The 19,986-nt window shown below is 44.3% G+C and overlaps 1 protein-coding gene and 1 long non-coding RNA gene across 15 annotated transcripts in view; one reads left to right on the top strand and one right to left on the bottom strand.

Annotated features, from left to right (window-relative positions):
* Positions 1–19,986, top strand: part of LOC101927182 (uncharacterized) — a 204,657-nt gene that overhangs the window by 157,758 nt on the left and 26,913 nt on the right. For 3 of the 5 annotated variants that reach the window (XR_001754608.2, XR_244179.4, XR_001754612.2), the window contains exon 1: positions 17,758–17,828. The exons of the other annotated variants lie outside the window; for them this stretch is intronic. This is a non-coding gene — a long non-coding RNA (uncharacterized LOC101927182). Of the gene's footprint in view, positions 1–17,757; positions 17,829–19,986 lie in introns of those variants that run through there. 5 annotated transcript variants of the gene reach the window in all.
* PTPRT (protein tyrosine phosphatase receptor type T) overlaps positions 1–19,986 on the bottom strand; it is a 1,158,017-nt gene that overhangs the window by 29,716 nt on the left and 1,108,315 nt on the right. For 9 of the 10 annotated variants that reach the window (NM_001394024.1, NM_007050.6, NM_001394025.1 and 6 more), the window contains one exon: positions 11,151–19,327. The exons of the other annotated variant lie outside the window; for it this stretch is intronic. In NM_001394024.1, coding sequence (NP_001380953.1) covers positions 19,274–19,327 — 54 coding nt within the window. In that variant the 3' untranslated portion in view covers positions 11,151–19,273. Of the gene's footprint in view, positions 1–11,150; positions 19,328–19,986 lie in introns of those variants that run through there. 10 annotated transcript variants of the gene reach the window in all.

Genomic DNA, 19,986 nt, shown 5'->3' on the forward strand with positions numbered 1-19,986 from the left:
TTTGTAACAACCTCATAAAAAGTCGTTTGACTGGGACAGCAGGAGTGGGAAACCCTATCAACATCTGGGACATCTCTAGGCCACTGTTCCTGCCACCCAGCTGTCTCTGCAGCCACTCTCGAGTTTCCTTGGATGAACCTTCTAGTTCTTTCAAAAATCTCACCCTGGGATGCTTCTGGGGTTCATGGTTCAGCCTCCCAGGGCTATGCTTCCCCACCTGGAATTGCACGCTTGCGTGGTTGGGAAGGTGTTGCCACAGACATTTTCTGCAGGCCTGATGCAAAAAACTGCATTTTAAAAAATCCTGAGAGTGACATCAGTTTCTGATGCATGTTAATTTTACCTTTTGTGATGAACAAACCACGCCAGCAGAAAGCCTCAACCCAGGGGGCTGGCTAACAGAGGTCCCATCAGGGAGGTGCCCTGGCCCAGCGCAGGTGAAGGGTCAGATGATGTTGATATCCCCTACAGGTATCCGCAGGTAGGGTACACTATCCAGCCCCCAGGATTGTTCTTCCTGAGTTACTCACATTCCACTTCGGCAGGCCTTAAGAAGATTGCTTGTGTAATAGGCTCCTAACTCCCTTTCCTTTATGGGCAGCATTAAGCAGAAGGCCTGCAAAGAGGGGTGTACTGTGACTTTGGAATAGAGTCAGCTGGGAGATCAACCGCATTTGTCAGACATGTAAAGCAATGTGAGCTGGCTGAGAATTCTAAAATCGGAAAAGAAGGGAGCCTTCTTCCCCTGTAGAGTAGAGGCCTAGAGTTCTCTTGGAAAAGCCACTGGGGCATCAGGAAGAATCAGGGCTGCCATTCTCTGCTCTAGGTCTGTCTCTCTAAAGGTTGAAAGATGCCGTTCTGGGGCACTTTGGCAGGATGTGTAGAGGGATGTCTCTGCAGAGGGGTTTTATCCGCTTTCAGAGTTGGAGCCATAATGACAGTATTCCCAACATCATGCACATTTAATCCCCCTCCTGTGGCCTCTGGGGATTTTTTTTCCCACATAAAATGTCTCAAGCCCTTATTCCACAAATGGCCTGATTTCTTGCTGGGCCCCAGATGGAGGCCTCTGCCCCCTTTTTTTCCCTGCAGGCAGGCCTGCACTCATGGGCCCTTCCCTAGCCTTTGGCCTATACCACTGTTTCTGGGAATTTTCTCTCTTTGGTTGATTCTCCAGTACACCTCACTCCAGTCCTGAAAACCTAAAATCTCCTTGTCCTGCTTCAAAAACTGGAAAGAAATGCATAGCCGCAGACCAGCTGAGCTGAGCTATGCTGCCTGTGTCTCAGGGAGCTATGACTTTTACAGGTAAGACGGCTCACTTCTTCAGGTTCAGCCAGCATCCTGGAGGATGCTCCTCAGAGACAGCACATTTATTTTGTTCTTGTCTGTTTGGGGTTATAAAGGCATAAGCCATGATGTATTGGATTAAAAAGTAGTTAACAATTTTTGCGTTTCAAGAGACCTGGATTTTAGTCATATTCCTAGTTTCAGATCTGTTACTTTTCCGGTGGCATAGGTAAAGAAAAATTGGCCAACATCTTCCTTTTTGTTAGAGTGTATACCATGTGATTGTCTTTGGTTTTTGTGACGAGGGCATTTTGTCTTTCTGGTTCTGTCAAGCAGGACATGAGCTGTCTTAGCACGTTTCCCCTCCGAAGGCACCCACAGTCTGTTTGGACATATGGTACCTCTCTGAGGATCTTTTAGCTTGCACTTGTTCCACAACCCCAAAGCAGCATTACTTATCTCTGGGGAACTGGATGCCAAGCTGTCTGGGTGTCCCTTGAGGCCCTGCTGGGGGTGATTAGTGATGGCTGATTGCTCTCCAAGGCCACTCTCAGAGACAGATGGATTCACCTCCGAGGAAAATTTCTCACCCAGCTTCTTATTTTGCACAGACCTTGCTGGAACTGACTGGTGGAATGTAGCAGGAATCGGAGGGAAGCTTTACTCATCATTCCAGTCCAGGGACCAACATAGGAAATTATATTAAAATTGGTTCTTCTCTGCTTACTTCCGTCCTCTAGTTGCATATTCTTAATCAGGTAAAGCATTTGTTAACCTTGTTTTTAATACTTAGAGGAGTGCCCTGGAGCCTGTCTGCCCTCATGATTGTCTGGAGAGGTGAGAAGACCAGGAGTAGTAAAACAGACCAAAGATTTCCCAATTTCTCTTGGGGAAGTGGCTGGGATTGGGGATGGTGGCCAATGGGAGCCCAACTTTATTGGTAAAATTCTGATTATTTTATGAGAAGAATGTATTTTTGTATCATTTGTGTAATTAAAAAATTAAGCAAATGAATAATATGAACACTTCAGTTCTTAAACATTGACAATGTATATACTGGATGTAATAAAACGCACTGAATTGAAAAAACTTTGCTTTGGTGATTTGTAAGAGAGGAGTTTTCCCTGTCATTTTCTTTTGCTTTGATCAGGGGATACTAGATAATATCAAACCGGCTTTATCCAAACTGTATATTGACAAATAGGAGACTTGTCTTCCCAATATCTGGTGTGACAAGGAATCTCAAAGAATTGATCAGAATGCATTCCTTCATTGGTACTATGTGGTGTTAATTATTGTAGCACTCTTGAAAATTGTTTGGTTATTCTTGTATGTTTATGTTTTTCATATTAACTTTAAAATTGTTTTTTCCAGTTACTTACTAAAAGACTCATATTGATTTTGATTGAAGCGGCATTAAACTTATTCTTTTAGTTTACGGTAGAATTGGCATGTTAACTATAGTGATTGTGACTGTCTACTGAATCTCTTAGTTTATTCCTGTCATCTTTTAGGTCTCAAGATAGAGTTCTATAGCTTTCTTTATGTGGGTCCTGCACATTTCTTAAGTCCATTCCTGGGCTTCCTGTATTTTGTGCTGCTATTGTGAGTGTAATTTTTCTTTTCCATTATGTTTTCTAATATATAATTGATACTATACTAATGAATGAATTCATTAGTTTATTCTACAAGTATGAATAGAGAAGCTATTTATTTATTTTGCATACTTATTTTATAACCTGTGCCTTTATTGAATTTTCTTATCAGTCTTAATAGTTTTTGGCATTACTAGACATATACCAAAGATTGAATTAACTTTGGGCCTTCATTTATAAAAGTAATTGTGGTGGTCTTAAAACATTTATGAAAATCTTTAATACTGCTTTTATAAAAAGAACAAGTCTATGTCCTCTTCTCTTGAATCACTGCTGACCTCAGTGAATCCTTTGTAACCTGTAGAATCTAACAAGTGATGAGATGTAACTTCAAAGGTCAGGTGGGAAAAGGTTACTTAGGTTTCACCAGGATCTCTTGGGACACTCACTGTGGGTGAAGATATGGGCTATGTAATTAGTCTGACTACTCTGGGCTGTCTGTGCTGAAGAGGCCACATGAAGGCACTTTAATTGACAGCTCCACTGAGTCTCCCAGCCAACAGCCAGCATCAACAGCAGCCATACATGTGAGTCGTCCTGGACATCCAGCCCAGTCAAGGCTTAAAGATGTCTGTAGTCCTGACATCTGTAACCACATGAAAGACCCTTCTCAAGAGCTGCCAGACTGAACCCTTTCAGAATTCCTGACCCACAAAATTATGAAAAAATAAAATATACTTGCTTTGGGATAATTGGTCACACAGCAACGGTAACTGTAACAATGATCTCTTAGCTATTGATTAATATTGCTAGCTGCATTGGCATCATCCAAAAATACTAAATTACAGCAAGGATGTAGACATCCATGACTTTACTAGAAATACACTTAGATTTTCTCTGTTATTTAATATGCTTGCTGCTGATATCATGCATTTTGTAGTAATAACTCTCAAAGCTTAGTGGCTAAGAACCACAATGGTTTATTTCTCATACACACAACGTTCTGGGAGTCCAGTAACTCCCAAGAGTAACTATACTCCGTGTGGTGATTCAGTGATCCAGGCTGAGGGAATCTCCCCCATCCCTATGGCTGCACCATCTACAATGCAGGACCTCCTTGATAGATGACTCAAGGAAAGAAAATGCTAGAGAGTCTCTCAACAGTCATTAAATACTTTGGTATAAAACTGATACATTATCAGTTCTGCTTATGCTTATTGGTCAAGACTTGTCACATGACTCCAGCTAATTACAAGGAGGGTGAGCGGTGTAATCTTCCTTTATGCCAAGAAGGAGTGGAGAAGTGGATACTGGTGAACTCTAGTAATATCTACCACTAATTATTTTAACTTCTTATGCTAACAAAGTATCCTACAATTAATAGCTTATTGAGGCCATCATATTTCATCAGGAATTGATATTAAATTTTGTCAAATGTTTTTTAAGTATTAAGATGATTATATGTCTTTCTTTTTACTGTTAGGCTTCCTCATATTGAAGTATTTTTGAATTCTTGGCATATAGGCTACTTGGACTTAGTATATTACTTTTTTTTTTTTTTTTTTTGAGACAGAGTTTCACTCTTGTTGCCCAGGCTGGAGTGCAATGGTGTGATCTTGGCTCACTGTAACCTCTGCCTCCCGGGTTCAAACGATTCTCCTGCCTCAGCCTCCTGAGTAGCTGGGATTACAGGCACGTGCCACCATGACGGCTGATTTTTTTTGTATTTTTAATAGAGACAGGGTTTCACCATGTTGACCAGGCTGGTCTCGAACTCCTGACCTCAGGTGATCTGCCCGCCTCAGCCTCCCAAAGTGCTGGGATTACAGGCATGAGCCACTGCGCCTGGCTGGTATATTACTTTTTAAAAGACTATGGGGGTCATTAATGATTTTAATGTAATCATTAAAATTTAGTAAAAATCTTCACATTTATGTGGCTGGTTTAGAGGTTGTAGGGGTTTTTTTGGTGTGTATTCTGTCAAATTTGGTATCTGTGCAATTTCTTCATAATATTCATAATATGAATTAAGCTTTCTTTTATTTGCATTGTTTTGGAATAGTACATACTGCATAATAACTATTTTTTAATTTGAAAGTTCGATCCAGCTCACTCATGAAACTACCTGCTCTTGTATCTTTCAGAGATGAGTCAACAACTTAACAAAACTTTCTTCTCTGATAGCAGGTCAACTTGGGTTTTCTATTTCTTGAGCCAATTTTGATAATATACATCATCAAGATTTTAAAATTTACTAGCCATGATTGTTGATGATATCCTTTTATAATTATGTATAATTTCTATATTCACTATTATATCCCCTTTCTGTCTCCTAATTTTGGTTATTTGTGTTTTCTCTCGATTAGACTTCTCAGCAATTTGTTTTGTTGGATACAACAACAAAAAATTTCTTGTGTTTAGAAAATCTAGTGTTTTTCTGCATCTGTGGAGATTCATTGTAAAATGTCTTTCTTTTTTTTGGCAGAGACCTGATTTCACAGGCAGGCACATTCTCTCATTCCTCAAAGTGAACCTCTGCTTTTGAACTCCTGCATCTTTTCATGTGTCTGGTGATGTTTTCCTGTTTGTTCACCCTTACAAGCGAAGGTGTGAGCTTGCTCAGAGTTGGGGTCTGGGCTGCCAGAGAGCATCATGGAGGGGCCAGAAAAGGGAAGGGATAGTTGAGATGTGCTGTTATTTTTCTTTAGCAGGCCAGAAATTTGACAGCCTGTGAGGGCAGAGAGCTTAGGCAGAGCTGGTACGGGGAGCTAGTACAAGGAGCTTCATCAACCCTGGGAGAGGTTTGTATCGGCATTTAGTGTTGGCTGGAACGCACGCCCCCATCTGTTTTCCTGTCACAATTTTCTCCATTAGGAGCTAGCTGCCTACATGGTTTGTCAGGAGCCATGTTCTGCCAAGGATAGGCTGGGCGTAAGCATTGCTGCAAGCTGCTTACTCTGCATGCATGGATCCCAGATCCACATACTCTCCACCCCACTGGTCAACCACCCTCTTGCTCTTGCACCCTATGCTAGGGCTCTCAGTGGGATTTTAGTAAAACAGGACCCCTTACCATCCTTCTTACTGTCTATTGGGTAGGCTCACCAAGTATTTTCAACAAAAATATGAGATGGCAGGACTCCTGTTCCCAAACCTGAGCAGGAAATTAATATCTTGACACATAGGATGAGCTTAGGACATGAGTAGAACTTCTCCCATGAATCACTTTACATCAAGTCCATTTTTTATCCCTAGATCAAAAGCCTGGTTGGACATCTGGCGGCCCTCTATGGGTGTTGGCAGAATCCCATTTCAGATTAACAGCTGGATGATAGGCTATTGTGCATAGCTGAAGCCCAGTTTCCCAGCTAGTGTTCCCCTGAAAGCAAAACCTTAAACGAAATTTTTTTTGGAAATATGATTCCAGGAAGCAATGAGAATAGGAGTTGTAAGTCAGGGAAGGAACGAGAAAGAGGTATTACAAGGTGTGTTATAGAGTTGGCTACTCTTACAGGGTCTGCTTGTTCTGGGACCATTTGAAAAGTCGCATGAAATACACTTAAGAACTGCCTTCAGAGGAAAGAGAGGAGGAAGCATTTGTTCACAGCCTCCAGGCCCCTATCAGTCAAAGATTTCATTGTTAACTTCCCTGCATTTCTGGGTAGCACACTCACAAGTGCTAAGTGGGTTCCTGTGGGCATCTCAGAGAATAGTACCAGAAATTGTGGCACAGGAAACAAGAGCTGCAGAGCCTGTCTGAGGAAAGGCACCATGGACTTCCCATATATGAAATCTGAAGAAGCATGCTTGGAAATTGTTCCCATGGCCGTGGATGACATAAGCGGTTAGGCTGAGAATATTTGAAGTGGTACACAAGAGGCATCTGTTTTACCCAGTTTTGTATGCCAACAAGGTGCTCTTACCACTCCCTTCCTCTCTCTGGGGTGCTTCAAATGGATTTGAAAGCCAAAATCCTCAGCATACATTTCTTCAAGATTCTCTCTGCTGTTTTCCTGCCCATACAAGTTTTTCTTAATGTCATTTCATCTCCCAGGAGATAGAAATGGACGATTGACCAATTTTCTGAGTGAGTACAGACCATCTGGAGCAGGCACCTGGGCGGGATGAGCCACTTTATCTTCTCTGAGGCTTCTTTGCATCTTTTAGGCAGCAAAACATGATTCAGCATCAACCACTGATTACGATTCTCATTTCAGCTTCTTGTGTCTTGTAATCAGAGGAAATTCCTCCCGGATTCACACAATAGCTTGGCCGCCAGGTGTGGTCCCATGTTTCCAGCTTTGACTACATATTTGTAGGGATTTTAAAGGAAAGTGGGATGGGATGGAGTCAGTCCTCATTATAACCCGGAGCAGGGGTTTACTTCTTGGCCCTGCCATGCCTCGCCTTAATAGAGAAACAGATTCATCTTCTATCTCAGCACATGTATCTGTTAGGCTCTTCATCATTCAAAAGGAGATACTAATTCTCTTTCTGGCTCAGCTGGCTCTTAAACTCGGACTCCAAATTCAATCAACAACTCAGAATAGCTATTTCACTGGTTCTGGGCTAAAAGCCTCCAGCTCATGGACACTCAGAGAGGAGAGAAAACTTGTTTATATAATACTAAAGATTCTGAAACCCTACATCTGGCTTAGGTCTGACTTGCAGAGAACCATGTAGCTGGGCCCCTTCATTTTGGTCCTTCAGTGAAGAGCTTTCACTGAATTGTTCTATGGCATGAGGCCATGAGTCTTCAGGGAGGGGAATCCATTGTGTCAGCGAAGGATGTTGTTGAAGCCATTATTTATTAAGGGGACTCATGAAAAAAATTTCTTCTAGGCTCTATAGCAGGAATGTTTTTTAGTTATTCTGAGCAAGAGATTTTTTTTTCCCTTTTGGACATTGACTAACTGACTGTGTTCCCCTTTTGTGGGAGATGGGCAGTGCCACATTTTCAAACCTCTTGATCCAGGTATATGGCAGGTCTTGGGGTATGACCCTGTTCCTGGCATCATCTTATCTGTTCTGCCTGGATTTTCCTATGTTCTTCTCACCTCTTCTTTTTATATAATTGGCCTTTCCGGGTATTAAAGTAATATAACATTTATAAAATGTAGAAAATTATAAAGAACAAAAATTACTTGTGTTCCCTATGATGAAAGATAACCACTGTTAATATACTGATGTTGTTTTTCATACATTTATATATTCAATTTATTTTCTCTATGCATCTGTAATTCTCTGTATATGTCTCTATCTATTCATGTATTCCAAATGTCCTTGAATAACTAGTTAAATTTTGTTCCAATGCCTATTCAATAGAGTGGGAGAACTGATGACCTCCTCAGTTTATGTTAATTTCCAGGGGGTTATAATCCCATGCTTTTCTCTGTCTCCAGTTGTTCAGTTTGTGAGTATCATCTCCCTGTGGGTGCCATGTCTCTACTGAATGTCAATGATGAGTCCAGGCTCAGTCCTGTCATTAAATTTCAAGAGAAAGCCACTCAGGCCAAGCCTTTGTTGAGTCTCGTTGCATATCCTAAAGATTAAGTGGTCAAAAGTTTTCTGAAATTAACTAGAGTGGTTTCTTTCTCTTATCTCACCAGCTGCTTCTGCTTCTATTCCTGTTCTTTTCTCCTTGCCACCCCCAAACCCTGTCAGAGGGAATCAAATCCCTCTTCTTGCCTTCTGCATGGTATGTTGTTGACCTCATCCCTTGTCTCCAGGAATCTGAGGGCTTCTAGGTTCCCTGGAGTTCTGATGGAAGGCTTGAGCCTTTGGAATTAAAGAAAGATCTTAAGTCAAACCAGAGCTACCAATCAAGGTGCTCCTAGGTCTGACATGCGCTCACACTCCAGGTCTAGCCACACAGGAAGGCCAGGCTAGGATCCACCTGGACAGCCAACAGACACATAAAGAGAGCTGTGCCAGTATCATCAGTCTCTCTCCAGGACGGCAGCACATAGGGTGGGATGTCCCTCTCTGCTAACGTTGATCCTTAGCATCACTGTGAGAACCCAAGACTTGAAGCACCCAAAATAGCTTAGCTTCAAGTTCAGGGGTACTATGGAGGTGTCAAGGAAGATAAGAGATATTTAAGCATATTTCCATGGAAATATGACAACTGTATGCTGTTAAGTGAGAAGAAGCAGGTCTCAGAGTATATACTGGTTGATGCCACTTACGTAGAATATGTTTATGCATAGAAAGGTCTGGAATGGCATAAAAATGTTAACAGGTACCTTTGAGAAGTGGGAACTTTCACCTTTTGCCTTAAATAATTTTATATTGAGTCCTTTCAAGTGAGTATGTGCTACTTTTATCATAACACTTTAAAAGCAATTTCCATTTTGGGGAAAGATGATATGCCCCCAAATATTTTTTTTTAAAGTGGGAGTTATGTGAGATTTTTTTCCTTCTTTCTAATTTTCTTTCTCCAGTGTCGTATTACATTTGTGGCCAAAGCATAAATGTAGCAGGCAGACTACGTGAGATTAACATGACCAAGGACAAAGTGACAAGATAACTAGCCGGCTGGACACCAGGTTCCCCATGTCATACCCAAGCTGGGAATCACATGTTCTCTAGACTCTGTGGCCTGGGAGGCCTAGTGAGCCATGTATCTAGGTTCCTCAGGCAGAAGAACCCTGCCAGGGTTCCCAAGACTGCAAGAGAACAAGGTGAACCCTGCGCTCCACCCCTGCGGCTTGTGTTTCCAGCTCAGGCTTATATCTGGACACATACAAAGAACTTGGGAACTAGTAAACTCCAAGGAGTCAGGTTCTAGTTATTTCTTCTGCTCATCCAGAAGAAAATAGAGGACATATGCATCCAACTGAGAGGTTGGCAGCCTCATGTCCCAGTTTGAGTACTGGTTTGTCCCAGTTCCTTTTGGGCTCATATCTGTTCCCCTCTAATAACAACAGCATTAAAAACAGTGCTTGCCTAATTTTAGCATGTATTATAATCACCTGGGGCACTTGCTGAACATATAGAATCCTAGCTCCTATCCTGGACCTATTGAATCAGGCTCTACACGTTGAGAAGTTTCCCTGGTGTAATGGTGTAGGTGACCCATGGATTGCACTCTGAGATTAGAGAGTTAACGGGTGCATCAGGAACCACTGGTTTCATACCTAAGCTCAGCAGTGTTTTATTTTATTTTATTTTATTTTATTTTTGAGACAGGATATCACTCTGTTGCCCAGGGTGGACTGCAGTGGCGCAGTCTCAGCTTGCTGCAGCCTCAACTTCCTAGGCTCAGGCAATCCACTCACCTCAGCCTCCTGAGTAACTGGGACTACAGGTGTGTGCCACCATGCCTGGCTAATTTGTTTGAACTTTTTGTGGAGATAAGGTCTCATTATGTTGCCCAGGCTGGTCTTGAACTCCTGGGCCTAAGTGATCTCCCACTTTGGTCTTCCAAAGTGCTGAGATAACAGGTGTAAGCCACCATGCCTGGCCAACTTCAGCATTTACTGGAAAATTGAGAGGAGGGGTCTATGTCAAGAAGTAGAATCCCTGCCCCTTGATTCTGAGTATTCCATGTAACTAGCTCTGTCCAAGGGGATGTTGCAGATATGATTCAAGCAAAGGCCTAGCAAAATATATATGTGATTGGACTTTCTCTCTCTCATGCTCCTGCTATTATCATGAGGAGCATATGCACAGGCTACCTTGTTGGTCCCAGGAGGAGGATGAAAAAATAAGGCGCAAGGCTGTAACAGCTCATGTGCCCCAGCCAAGCCTTGCCTAGAATAGAGCCCTTAGCCAACACATGAATGAGCCTAGCTGAGATTAGCTGAGCTCAGCTTAGATCAGAGAGTCTTAGCTGGCTGCTATCAAATATTTTTCTTTCAAGTTACTGAGTTTTGGGTTGTTTATTATGCAGCCATAGCTAGCTGATACATTTAGGCAGCTCGTTACCAAGGCAGACCCTGAAATTGTGATTCTCTGGGCTTAGGAATCTGTATGTTTAACAAAGTTCCCAGTGATTCTCATGCCACTGCTCTATGAACCACACTTGAGAAACACCACTTTACACTCAACCCTTTTACTAGCTCAATGTGCAGTCATGGAAAATCCCTTGATGTTTCTGAGCCTCAACTTTTTCGTCTGCAAAGAGGGAATAATATGTATTTCCTGTGATGTAAGGATTAACTTAAATATAAAGAAACCTAGCTGATAATTTTTTCTCCTCCTCCTTCAACTTGTCCCCACCTCATCCCTACCCAACCTCAGGAAGACACCAGTACGAATATCTTAGGAAAACATGAATCTCAGGGTCACAGCTTTATTGTATAGATTTTTTAACACAGCCATGTTACAAACATTGTCAGGGAACATTTACAAGAATAAATAAGATGGACTTGCAGGTGTAAAAAGATTACACTTCACTGTAATGTACAGTCAAAAAATATATCTGATATTCATTGACCTGACATTATTTACCTTCTGCTTTTCTGAGCTAGAATTGAAAAGAAAAAAAAAACATTGACAGCACAGTGCTGGCTTTTTTAAAAAGTTGATTTATTTTGTTTTCTCTTCTCATACGTGCTTTATCTATCAAACACCCAAACTGTACAAGTGCAGGCCATTGGGATTCATGGAGGAGGCTGCAAAGAGTGTGGAGACTTTGGTCTCATGCAATATTATATGCCCAGTGGATGTGAAGATGTCAGCCTCCCTGGAGTTGAGCGGGAACCTTGGGATAGCTTGTGAGGGTGTCCAGAAGCCAAGGCAATGGTAGAGGCCACAACTCTTTGTCTTTGATTGGCTAGTAGAATGTAGGGTGAAAAGTGCTTTTGAGTATGATTACCAATATGGGTTAACCCGGATTTACATGGGCTAGCTCAGGATCCACCTGGTGATGAAATGTGTGCACTGGAAATGATTATAATCATGTGTAAATTGAGTTACTGTGCTTTTGCTTTTGCAGTGTGCTCCAACAGGCCTTGAATAGGGAGTGGGGTAGAAATAACCTCTGGAGATAATGTGTATGGTAAGAAAAGCCCTGCTCTGTGTCCTACTTGGACCTTCACTGGTTCTGGCTGTCACTCATGGCCCTGTTGGTCAGTGGGTCTGAGTTATGGCTGCTCTCATGAGAGATCTACATGGGTATTGGGTCTATGGCAAAGCAGCTGTTCCCTATGGTTTGCTGTTTGGTGATAACCAGCCTGGATCAGCCCAGTATATGTGGCCACAACAGCATGTTGGCCTGCTCAGTGGGGGCACTTGGGTGGGAGAGCAGGGGGCTTCAGCCTGTACAGACCAAACACAATCTACTTGGATTCGTGCTCTACAGGTATGAATGAGTTCAAACATGATCCCAGCTCCACAAGATCTCACCCATCTGGAATGGAAGTGACCTGAAATCCATTTCACCAATGCTTCTCTTCCCTTTAAAGAGACACCTGCCTTCTTTTAGACAGCTGCTGAGATGGGCAGCTTATCCTCTCTGGCAGACAGCAGGTTCTTCCTTACAGCTATTAAGTTTCACTCATGGGTCCTAGTTATACTCAGAGGAGTGACCTGGGTCTAGCAAACTGTGCTTGACTTCATCCAAGAATCTGCAGAGCTATGGAAGATATGGACACCATATTCTGCCTGACCCCTCAGAAGCCTAACTTTACATGGAATGACACCACTCTGCCCTCTAAGCCTCCAGACTGCCCTGGGGCCTTTGACCCAAAGAACACCTGACATTATTCATCTTCCATGGGAGATACAGGGACAGGGTGGACACTGAGAGTTTGTTGGACCATCATAGAGAAGGCCCACTGATTTGTATTCATAAGCCCAAAGGCACTGAAGTAATTGTACAGAGACTCAATTTTGTAATTTTGGTGGTTTACTTCCTATGACCCTTTCTCCTCCACATCCAAGAGTCCTGCTCACTAAGGAACCATGAACTACATTAATTACCCTGAGCTCCAGGCTTTTATACTGATACTTTTCTGTCCAACACTTCAAGGCCACCAGACACTCATTCTCCGAACATTCCAATTAAGGATCAGAGTCCACATCTCACCACCCAGAGCAGTTCTCAGATATAGAAGGAAGCCCCATAATGATCAAGCCCCTAAAACTCTTCCCAATAGATTTTCTTTCATCCTGAGCCCTTGCACTTCCCTTGTATCTGCCCCAGTGGACCACCCCTGAGCTCTTAGATAGGTGGGATGCTAGGTTTGGAGGCTACCATTGTGAGTGTTGATGCCTCCTTTTAGAGACCTAACATTCATGAGTGGATTTCAGTTGGTGAATGCCCTTTGATGACCTTTTCCCATCTCTTCTGGAGGTGGGCAGGTGGGATGCAAAAGACTGGCTTGATCTCTACAAGACATCTCTATAGTCAGTGCCATGCAAAAGCCCATCCCTGGTTACTAAAAAACTAGAAGAGTCTGCTCATGTGCACAAATATGGCTTAGATATCTCTGCTGTGCTTCGGAGGATCAGATCCATGATCCTGAAAAATGTGTCAGAAGAAACTGGAGCTAGAACAGCTCCCCCCACACTCCACCACTAACCTCTCTCCCTGCTGTTCAGTCTATGACCTCAAAGGCAGATCCCTGCAAGACAAAGCCAAGGCCTTGCATTCTATCACTTCTAGACATGTATACATGGAAAACCTCCAACAGGGAAACTTTGCATGGGAGGAGTAAACAAATCTGAATCTCAGCTTGTCTCTTCTAGTTGGATTTACTTTTCCTATTTCCTTGTTTTACTTGGCTGTGATTTGAAGCTGGTCACAGGCTAAGAAGGAGCTCAGACTGTTAAGTAATGGGGAAGCCAAGTCAGGGATTTGAGATGACATGACTATCCACGTTTATGTTTTTTTTCTTCTAACCTACCCTCCAGTTGGGTTGACCATTTTTTTCCCTGGGGATCCTGGCCCAGCACAACCTGTTGACATGACTTAGGAACAGCGTCCTGTTCATGCTTCCTCTTGGGCTCACCCATGTCTTCCAGAGTGTTACTCCTGGTTGAGCTTGGTGCTGATGACCTGTTTACCCAGCCCAGGAGTGGCAAGCTGCAGCCTAAGGAAGGGTGGCTTTCTTCATTTTGTCCCAAGGCAGTGAGGTACCAAGGAATTATCATTTCCTTCAATGTCTCTGGATCTGGGTTGGGCAGTCACTCCTGCAGAGGTAACAGGATAAGGGCCTGGCTGCTACTCCCTGGGCCTCACTTCTGTTGTGTAGAGCAGTCTTACTGGACTGATACCTCTATGTACTCTAAGGGGTTCCCACCAGCGACGAGGAAATGTAGATCCTGGTGAGGACTTACAGCAAGAGCTAGTGTGGCAATGGGGAGTGGAGGATGAATAAACATGATGGGTCAGAGGGAAATGCATCATCTTTTGCCCCAGACACTGAGATTTGCCCTTGTTCCAAGTGGCTCTGGCAAGCTGTTACCCATCCTTTCTCCAGCTATGTCACAGAAGTGACCATTTTGCTAAATAAGTCATCTGCATCCTCGGTTCTGAGTATTCACTGGGTTCCAGTTTCCTGGCCTTGCGTTCCTGTTTTCCTGCCTAAAGTGCTCCAAATCTACCCCTTCTAATGTTGATGAGGGTCCTTTTTTCATGTATGTTTTTCATGTATGTATGTTTTCGTTCAAACTAAAGACTGAGCTCTGTCCACCACAACCCCATGCCTTACCCAGGAATTAATTGTGCCATAGTAATCTCGATTTCCTAATAGTGCCCCCTCCAAGGTGCTAGGTGCTGTAGGCACCCAGTAATTATGTGTGGCTAGGGTAAAGTGAGGAGCCTTCCAGACCCCAGCTGCTCATGAAGTGTGTCCTCAGACTTGCCCACATTAGCAACCATGTGACTCCACTTGGACAACAGGCACCACTTTCCAGCCTAGCATTCAGGAATCTGCTGAGTACAGCTGTGTCCAGCTTCTCTTTTCCCTTTAGGGTTTTGTGGGCTCATCCTTCTCCACGCCAGATGAGCAAATCCTCATCATTCTAGTGTGAGTTAATGGGTTCCTTCCAGCACCCAACTGGAAGATGCCTTAGTTGAGGTCCCCTCATGAACAGTGAGGTCAGAGCACCCACACACCAAAGGAGCTGCCTAGGAGAAGGTCAGTTGGTCTTGATCTTGAGCCTATAACTGGCTCTGGGAGGCAGCAGGGTCACTGCTCCTAGAGTCAATTCTAGGGTCAAGCTGAAGACCAGCTGACCTAGGGTCCGTCATAGCGGGGTGAACAGAACAGAACAACATGAGGAACAGAGCACATTTTTTTTTGAAATATTCATAGAGTCATATTAAAACCAACAAGGCTAAATCAGAAAGTGGAATGCAAATTTTGCATGAATTGTGAACGTAAAACATGAGACTATGAAGGAATTTTAAGCTTACTGTTGTTTGCTTTGAGCTTTATCCACTGACGTATCTGTTCCACTCTAGTCTCTTCTGTTATGGGTAACCTCCTGGGAAAAATGTGAGATACAATGGTGGAAAAATATTGTCTCTGTAGTGAGAAAAAACCGGTTTAAATCCTGGTTCATTCACTCACTAGCTGTGGAACTGTGGGCAAGTGATTTCTCCCCTAGGAGCCTTAGTTTCCTCATCAGTAAATGGTGACAATCACAAACCCTCCTTTAGAATGCTGGAAGAATTTAATGAGCTCACATGTTAGAGTCCCCAGCATAGGGTCTGTTGGTTCCTTTGCAGGCCACACCCACAGAGAGGGCCAGCACTAAAAGCAAACTGTCCCCTTCCATTCCCACAAAGAGAGGCCTACTGTGGCCTTCTAGAGGCCCAAGGACCCCTGGTTGGCCCAGATTCTTCACCCCAGAAAGGATGCAATGTTGGAGTGCAGCTAAGATACATCCTGAAGCTATTTAGGCCATAAACACAGGTGGAGAAATTTCCTGGGCTTCTCATTACTTCCTTGCATCTTCCCCAAACAGAGCCCACATCTATGAGGTAAGAGCTCCTGTTGTAAAGACTCAGAGAGCATTAATAATATTTTCCTCTGCTCATGACAGGCTGAGCTCACCCTGTAAATGGGGTGGGGTGGGGAGACCCCCTGGGGGTGGTGGTGTTGGCTCCGGAGATTTCCTGGGTAAAGGAAAATGTTCAAATTCCTGGGCACTGGTGCCCCATCTCATCCAAGCCTTGCCACATCCTTGTCCCATGGGATCTTAGGGAAGTCATCCCCATCCATAAGCCTCAATTTCTTCCTGTGTGCACTGGCCTAAGACCTATTCACTGTCCTGCTTTAGAGAATGGTTGGGTTGTGGGAAAATAAGGGGATGAGCTGGGGGAAATCATCACTGGCCCTTGCTGGGTTACCCCAACATGGCCTGAGATTTTTTTTTTTTGCAAGTTTGTTTCTCCCTGAAGTCACACCTTAAATTCCTACCATTTAAAATGATAAAAGCCACTGTCTTTTGTATCTGCCAGCTATTTCACCCCTTCCTGAGCAGAAAAAAATCTTAGGATTTGTGTTAAATAGCTCTCCCTCCACCCTCATCCTGTCTGGATGTACCAAGATCTAAGAAAATAGCATACAGCAGGCAGATTTGCCATGCTACAGGCTCCTTGCAGGCTGGGGAAGGCCAGCTGGGGCATTGGGCTGGAGCCGAGGGAGGCCAGCAGGCCCAGTGGGGGTGGGTCCCCGGGGTCTGCTGAAATACACCTGGGGAGAGGCTCATCAAAGGAAAAGAGCAAGTTCATCGTGGGGTTCCTTTGCTTGCCTTTGCTTTGAGGCACTTCCTTTTGAACCTCTAAAGTGACAGCCCTTCCTTGATCAAGTCTGGTGTCCCTGGACTTCTGGACAGCTCCAGAGCCCATGCCAATGGAAGCAACTTTTGTCGGCTCCTTTCATGTTCCATCCTCATGGGCCTGGAGATCTGGGTTGGTGACCCTGCTCCGTGGTAAAGCAGAGACCCTGGGTTTCTCATAGAATCTGAGTCTCATGATCCATTGCATATTTAGTTCCAGCAACAAAACAATGAGCAGACAGACAAATAGATGTGATATTAAAAAGTGCACGCTTAAGGGAATGTTTTCACAGTGTCTGATGAAAGGAAAAGAGGCAGCCCCATTGGCCCAGAAGGAGTCTTGGCCAACACGAAGCTGAGTGCATCTCTCTAAAGCTCCATGGACTCCTTGTTGCCAATAGGACAAAGTCTGTACTCGCGATGGGCATCTGTCTCCTGGACCCTGGCTCATCTCTTGCTGCTCCCCGTGTTGTGCTGTGCCCGCACTGGGCTGGCCTCCCCCAGACTGCTTCTCCCAATGCCTTTTCACATTTCTTTGCCATTGCACATATGGATCCCTTTGCCTGAGTTTCCTTTTTTTCCTTTTTATGCTTGTTAAGACCCAGCAGGAATGGACGTCCCCTTCTCCAGGAAGCCCGAGGCCGAAGAGACTTTCTTGCTCCTAGGCTCATGGAACACTCATCCACTCCACACTACTGCACCATGGTTCCATTTCCCCAGCATACAGTGGGCTCTTGAGGGCCAAAGCTGTACCTTCTTGAATTCTCTGCCCCTCATGCCCTGTCTGGGGCTAGACCAGCCTTCAAGATGGAGCTTCCTAGGTCCCAGCCCACCTGAGGCTGTCAGATATTGGGCCTAAGCACTGGCTAGAGATCAAGGTCGAGAGTTTCCCTGGCTGGTCCATTCATAGCCTGAAGGAACAGGGAATTGTTTTTACTGACTAAGAAATTAGATGAGACTGGCTTTCCTGGGGAGCTGGGAATGTGTTACTAAAATATATCTGAAATTCTGCGCTTCCCAGAAGAACTGGCATCAGGAAGAAAGTACTAAATTTCCATTTGTGGAGTTATCTGCTCAGAAGTTTCTGGCCTTATTTTCCCTCCATAAAATAATTGCTTGGCTTAGAGAAGATGAAGAAAACAGCACGGAGAAGTCTCATTGCCATTACCTGCCCCTTTGGAACCCAGGATTTCATTACTAAGGAAGGTGCGTGGGTTTCCTCATTGGAGGAGATGATCAAATGGAGATGATAACAAGTCAGTAGCTCTCTCCTGGGGGTTCTAAGGACTGTGTGAAATGTCCTATGGAAAGTGCCAAGCATGATCCCTGGCATACAGTAGAGACTTAGCAAATGTTGGTTCCCTCTCATTGACTCACTCACACTTTGGACAAGACCCTAGATCTCCAGGCCTGATTCTCTTGGCCTATTTTAAATCAAAGTATAATGGGCTCCACAATGGCCTTTTTCAAGGTGGCTGCTGGGTTTCTTTAGGAAGGAGTTCAAATTTGGACATCCAAATTATGCACAAAGCTGGTGCTCTATTTGCCCCAGAAACCAAAGGGACCATCTTCAGGCTCACCCATCTCTCCTTGCTCAGTGGCATGCTGTCCCAGGGTGGGAGCTTTTAAGGACATTGCCAGGAAAAAATAAAAGGCCCGAGAGATTTGTCTTAGAGGTACATACTCAAACTCCCCCGCCCCCTTCTTTTTGACATAAGAGACTAAGATTTTACACCCTCCAAAAGAAAGTTTCTTTTCACATACACTTTGGAAAATAATCAAATCTTATCTTGTTTGTCTCTTCCAAAGAAAGCTACCACCAAAGAAACACAGGGGTTACATCCTACAGGTCAGCCCAAGCCCTGCCCCAGGGAGGTGGTCCCTTTTTACAAAGACAAGGAGGAGCAGAGAAGTTCCCTGCAGTTCCACCCCCTCCCACTGACCACACAAAAAAGCAAAGAACACCTTTATCAAAAACTGCTGTGGACACAGCTGGCCGGCCAGTGAATGCTGGACGGTCAAGGCCCAGGCTGGGGAAGGGGTACAGAATGGTTGTGGGCGAAGCCCCATGCAGGTTAGGTGTGAGGATGGGGGGCCTCTCTTGTGGCCTAGGGAACATCGTAAGGTCACACTGGTCCAGACTGCAAATGTCTGGTGCCAGAGGCCCCTGAAGGAGGTTGCAGGGGGCAGCAGAGCAGTGACCCCCAAGAGCCTCAATCTTTTCCATGACGTAGAGGAGCAGAACACACATCTCCTCCACTCCTAAGGAGAAGGAGGGCAGGGGAGCCTCCCACTCCCCAGCACCTGCACAGTTGGCTTGCCAAGAGATCCACAAACTCAGAACAAAAGCAGGTGGTCTGGGAGCCAGAAATCCAAGGCCTTGCTTGTGGGTGTACTTCTGCTTGGGCCCTTGGCTGTGGCTGGTTAGGTTGAAAAGGAAGCCTGGGCCTTTTGGAGCAGCATCTCCCACGGCAACAGGAGACCCCTCAGAAGGTGCAGAGCCCCCCGTGGAACACAGGGCCACCAGTCTTCTCCTTGGAGTCAGGCAGGGTGCCACCTCAGAGCTCCTGAGCCCAGTTACTGCCATTCACACAAAAGGGGGCTTGGTCACAGCAGCCTCTGGACTCCGGCAGGTTCCCCATCCCATTGAGCTAAAAGGAGCTTAAATATTCCAGTGCCACCTCGTATACAAATTTATACTGTTCCTGAGAGGCGGAGAGGAGCAGAGGCAGAGAGGGAGAAGAGGAGACGAGAGAGATGAAAAAGGAAAGGGAAAATGCATTTAGTTTAGAGATACAGATTTTGGAGAAAACTTTTTCTATATCCATATTATGTCAACTCAAAATTACCCATATCTGGACATCCTTCAAAATTCTGCTTGATGCCTGCTTCTACCCAAGCTTCCTCGAATGCCCAGCTGGCATCATTCCCTTTCTTTTTTACTGTTTTGTACAACAGGGCTTCTCAAACTGTAACGTGCATACAAGGCAGCCAGAAATCTTTTTAAAATGCACATTCTGATTCAGTAAATCTGGAGTGGGGCTCAAGATTCTGCATTTCTAACAAGCTCCCAGATAATGATGCTGCTGCTGGTCTGTGACCCACACGTTAATATGGCCTCATTTTGACTAAGACCACTATTCGAGTAGGTTTAAAGACTTATATTAAAGCTCCTCGTGCATGGTGCGGTGGTCCACCATGGTACCAGGTCTTATCACCCGGGGCTCTGCCCACACACTCTCTTTATCACACTTTCCTCCATAGTACTCTCTACTATAAATGCTCTCTATTGTAAAAATTACCATAAATTAATTGGAATATAATTGGACTGAATTGAAAACATACTTCACATTCTACTAATCCA

This window comes from Homo sapiens, chromosome 20 (assembly GCF_000001405.40).
Source record: "Homo sapiens chromosome 20, GRCh38.p14 Primary Assembly".
Taxonomy (NCBI): domain Eukaryota; kingdom Metazoa; phylum Chordata; class Mammalia; order Primates; family Hominidae; genus Homo; species Homo sapiens.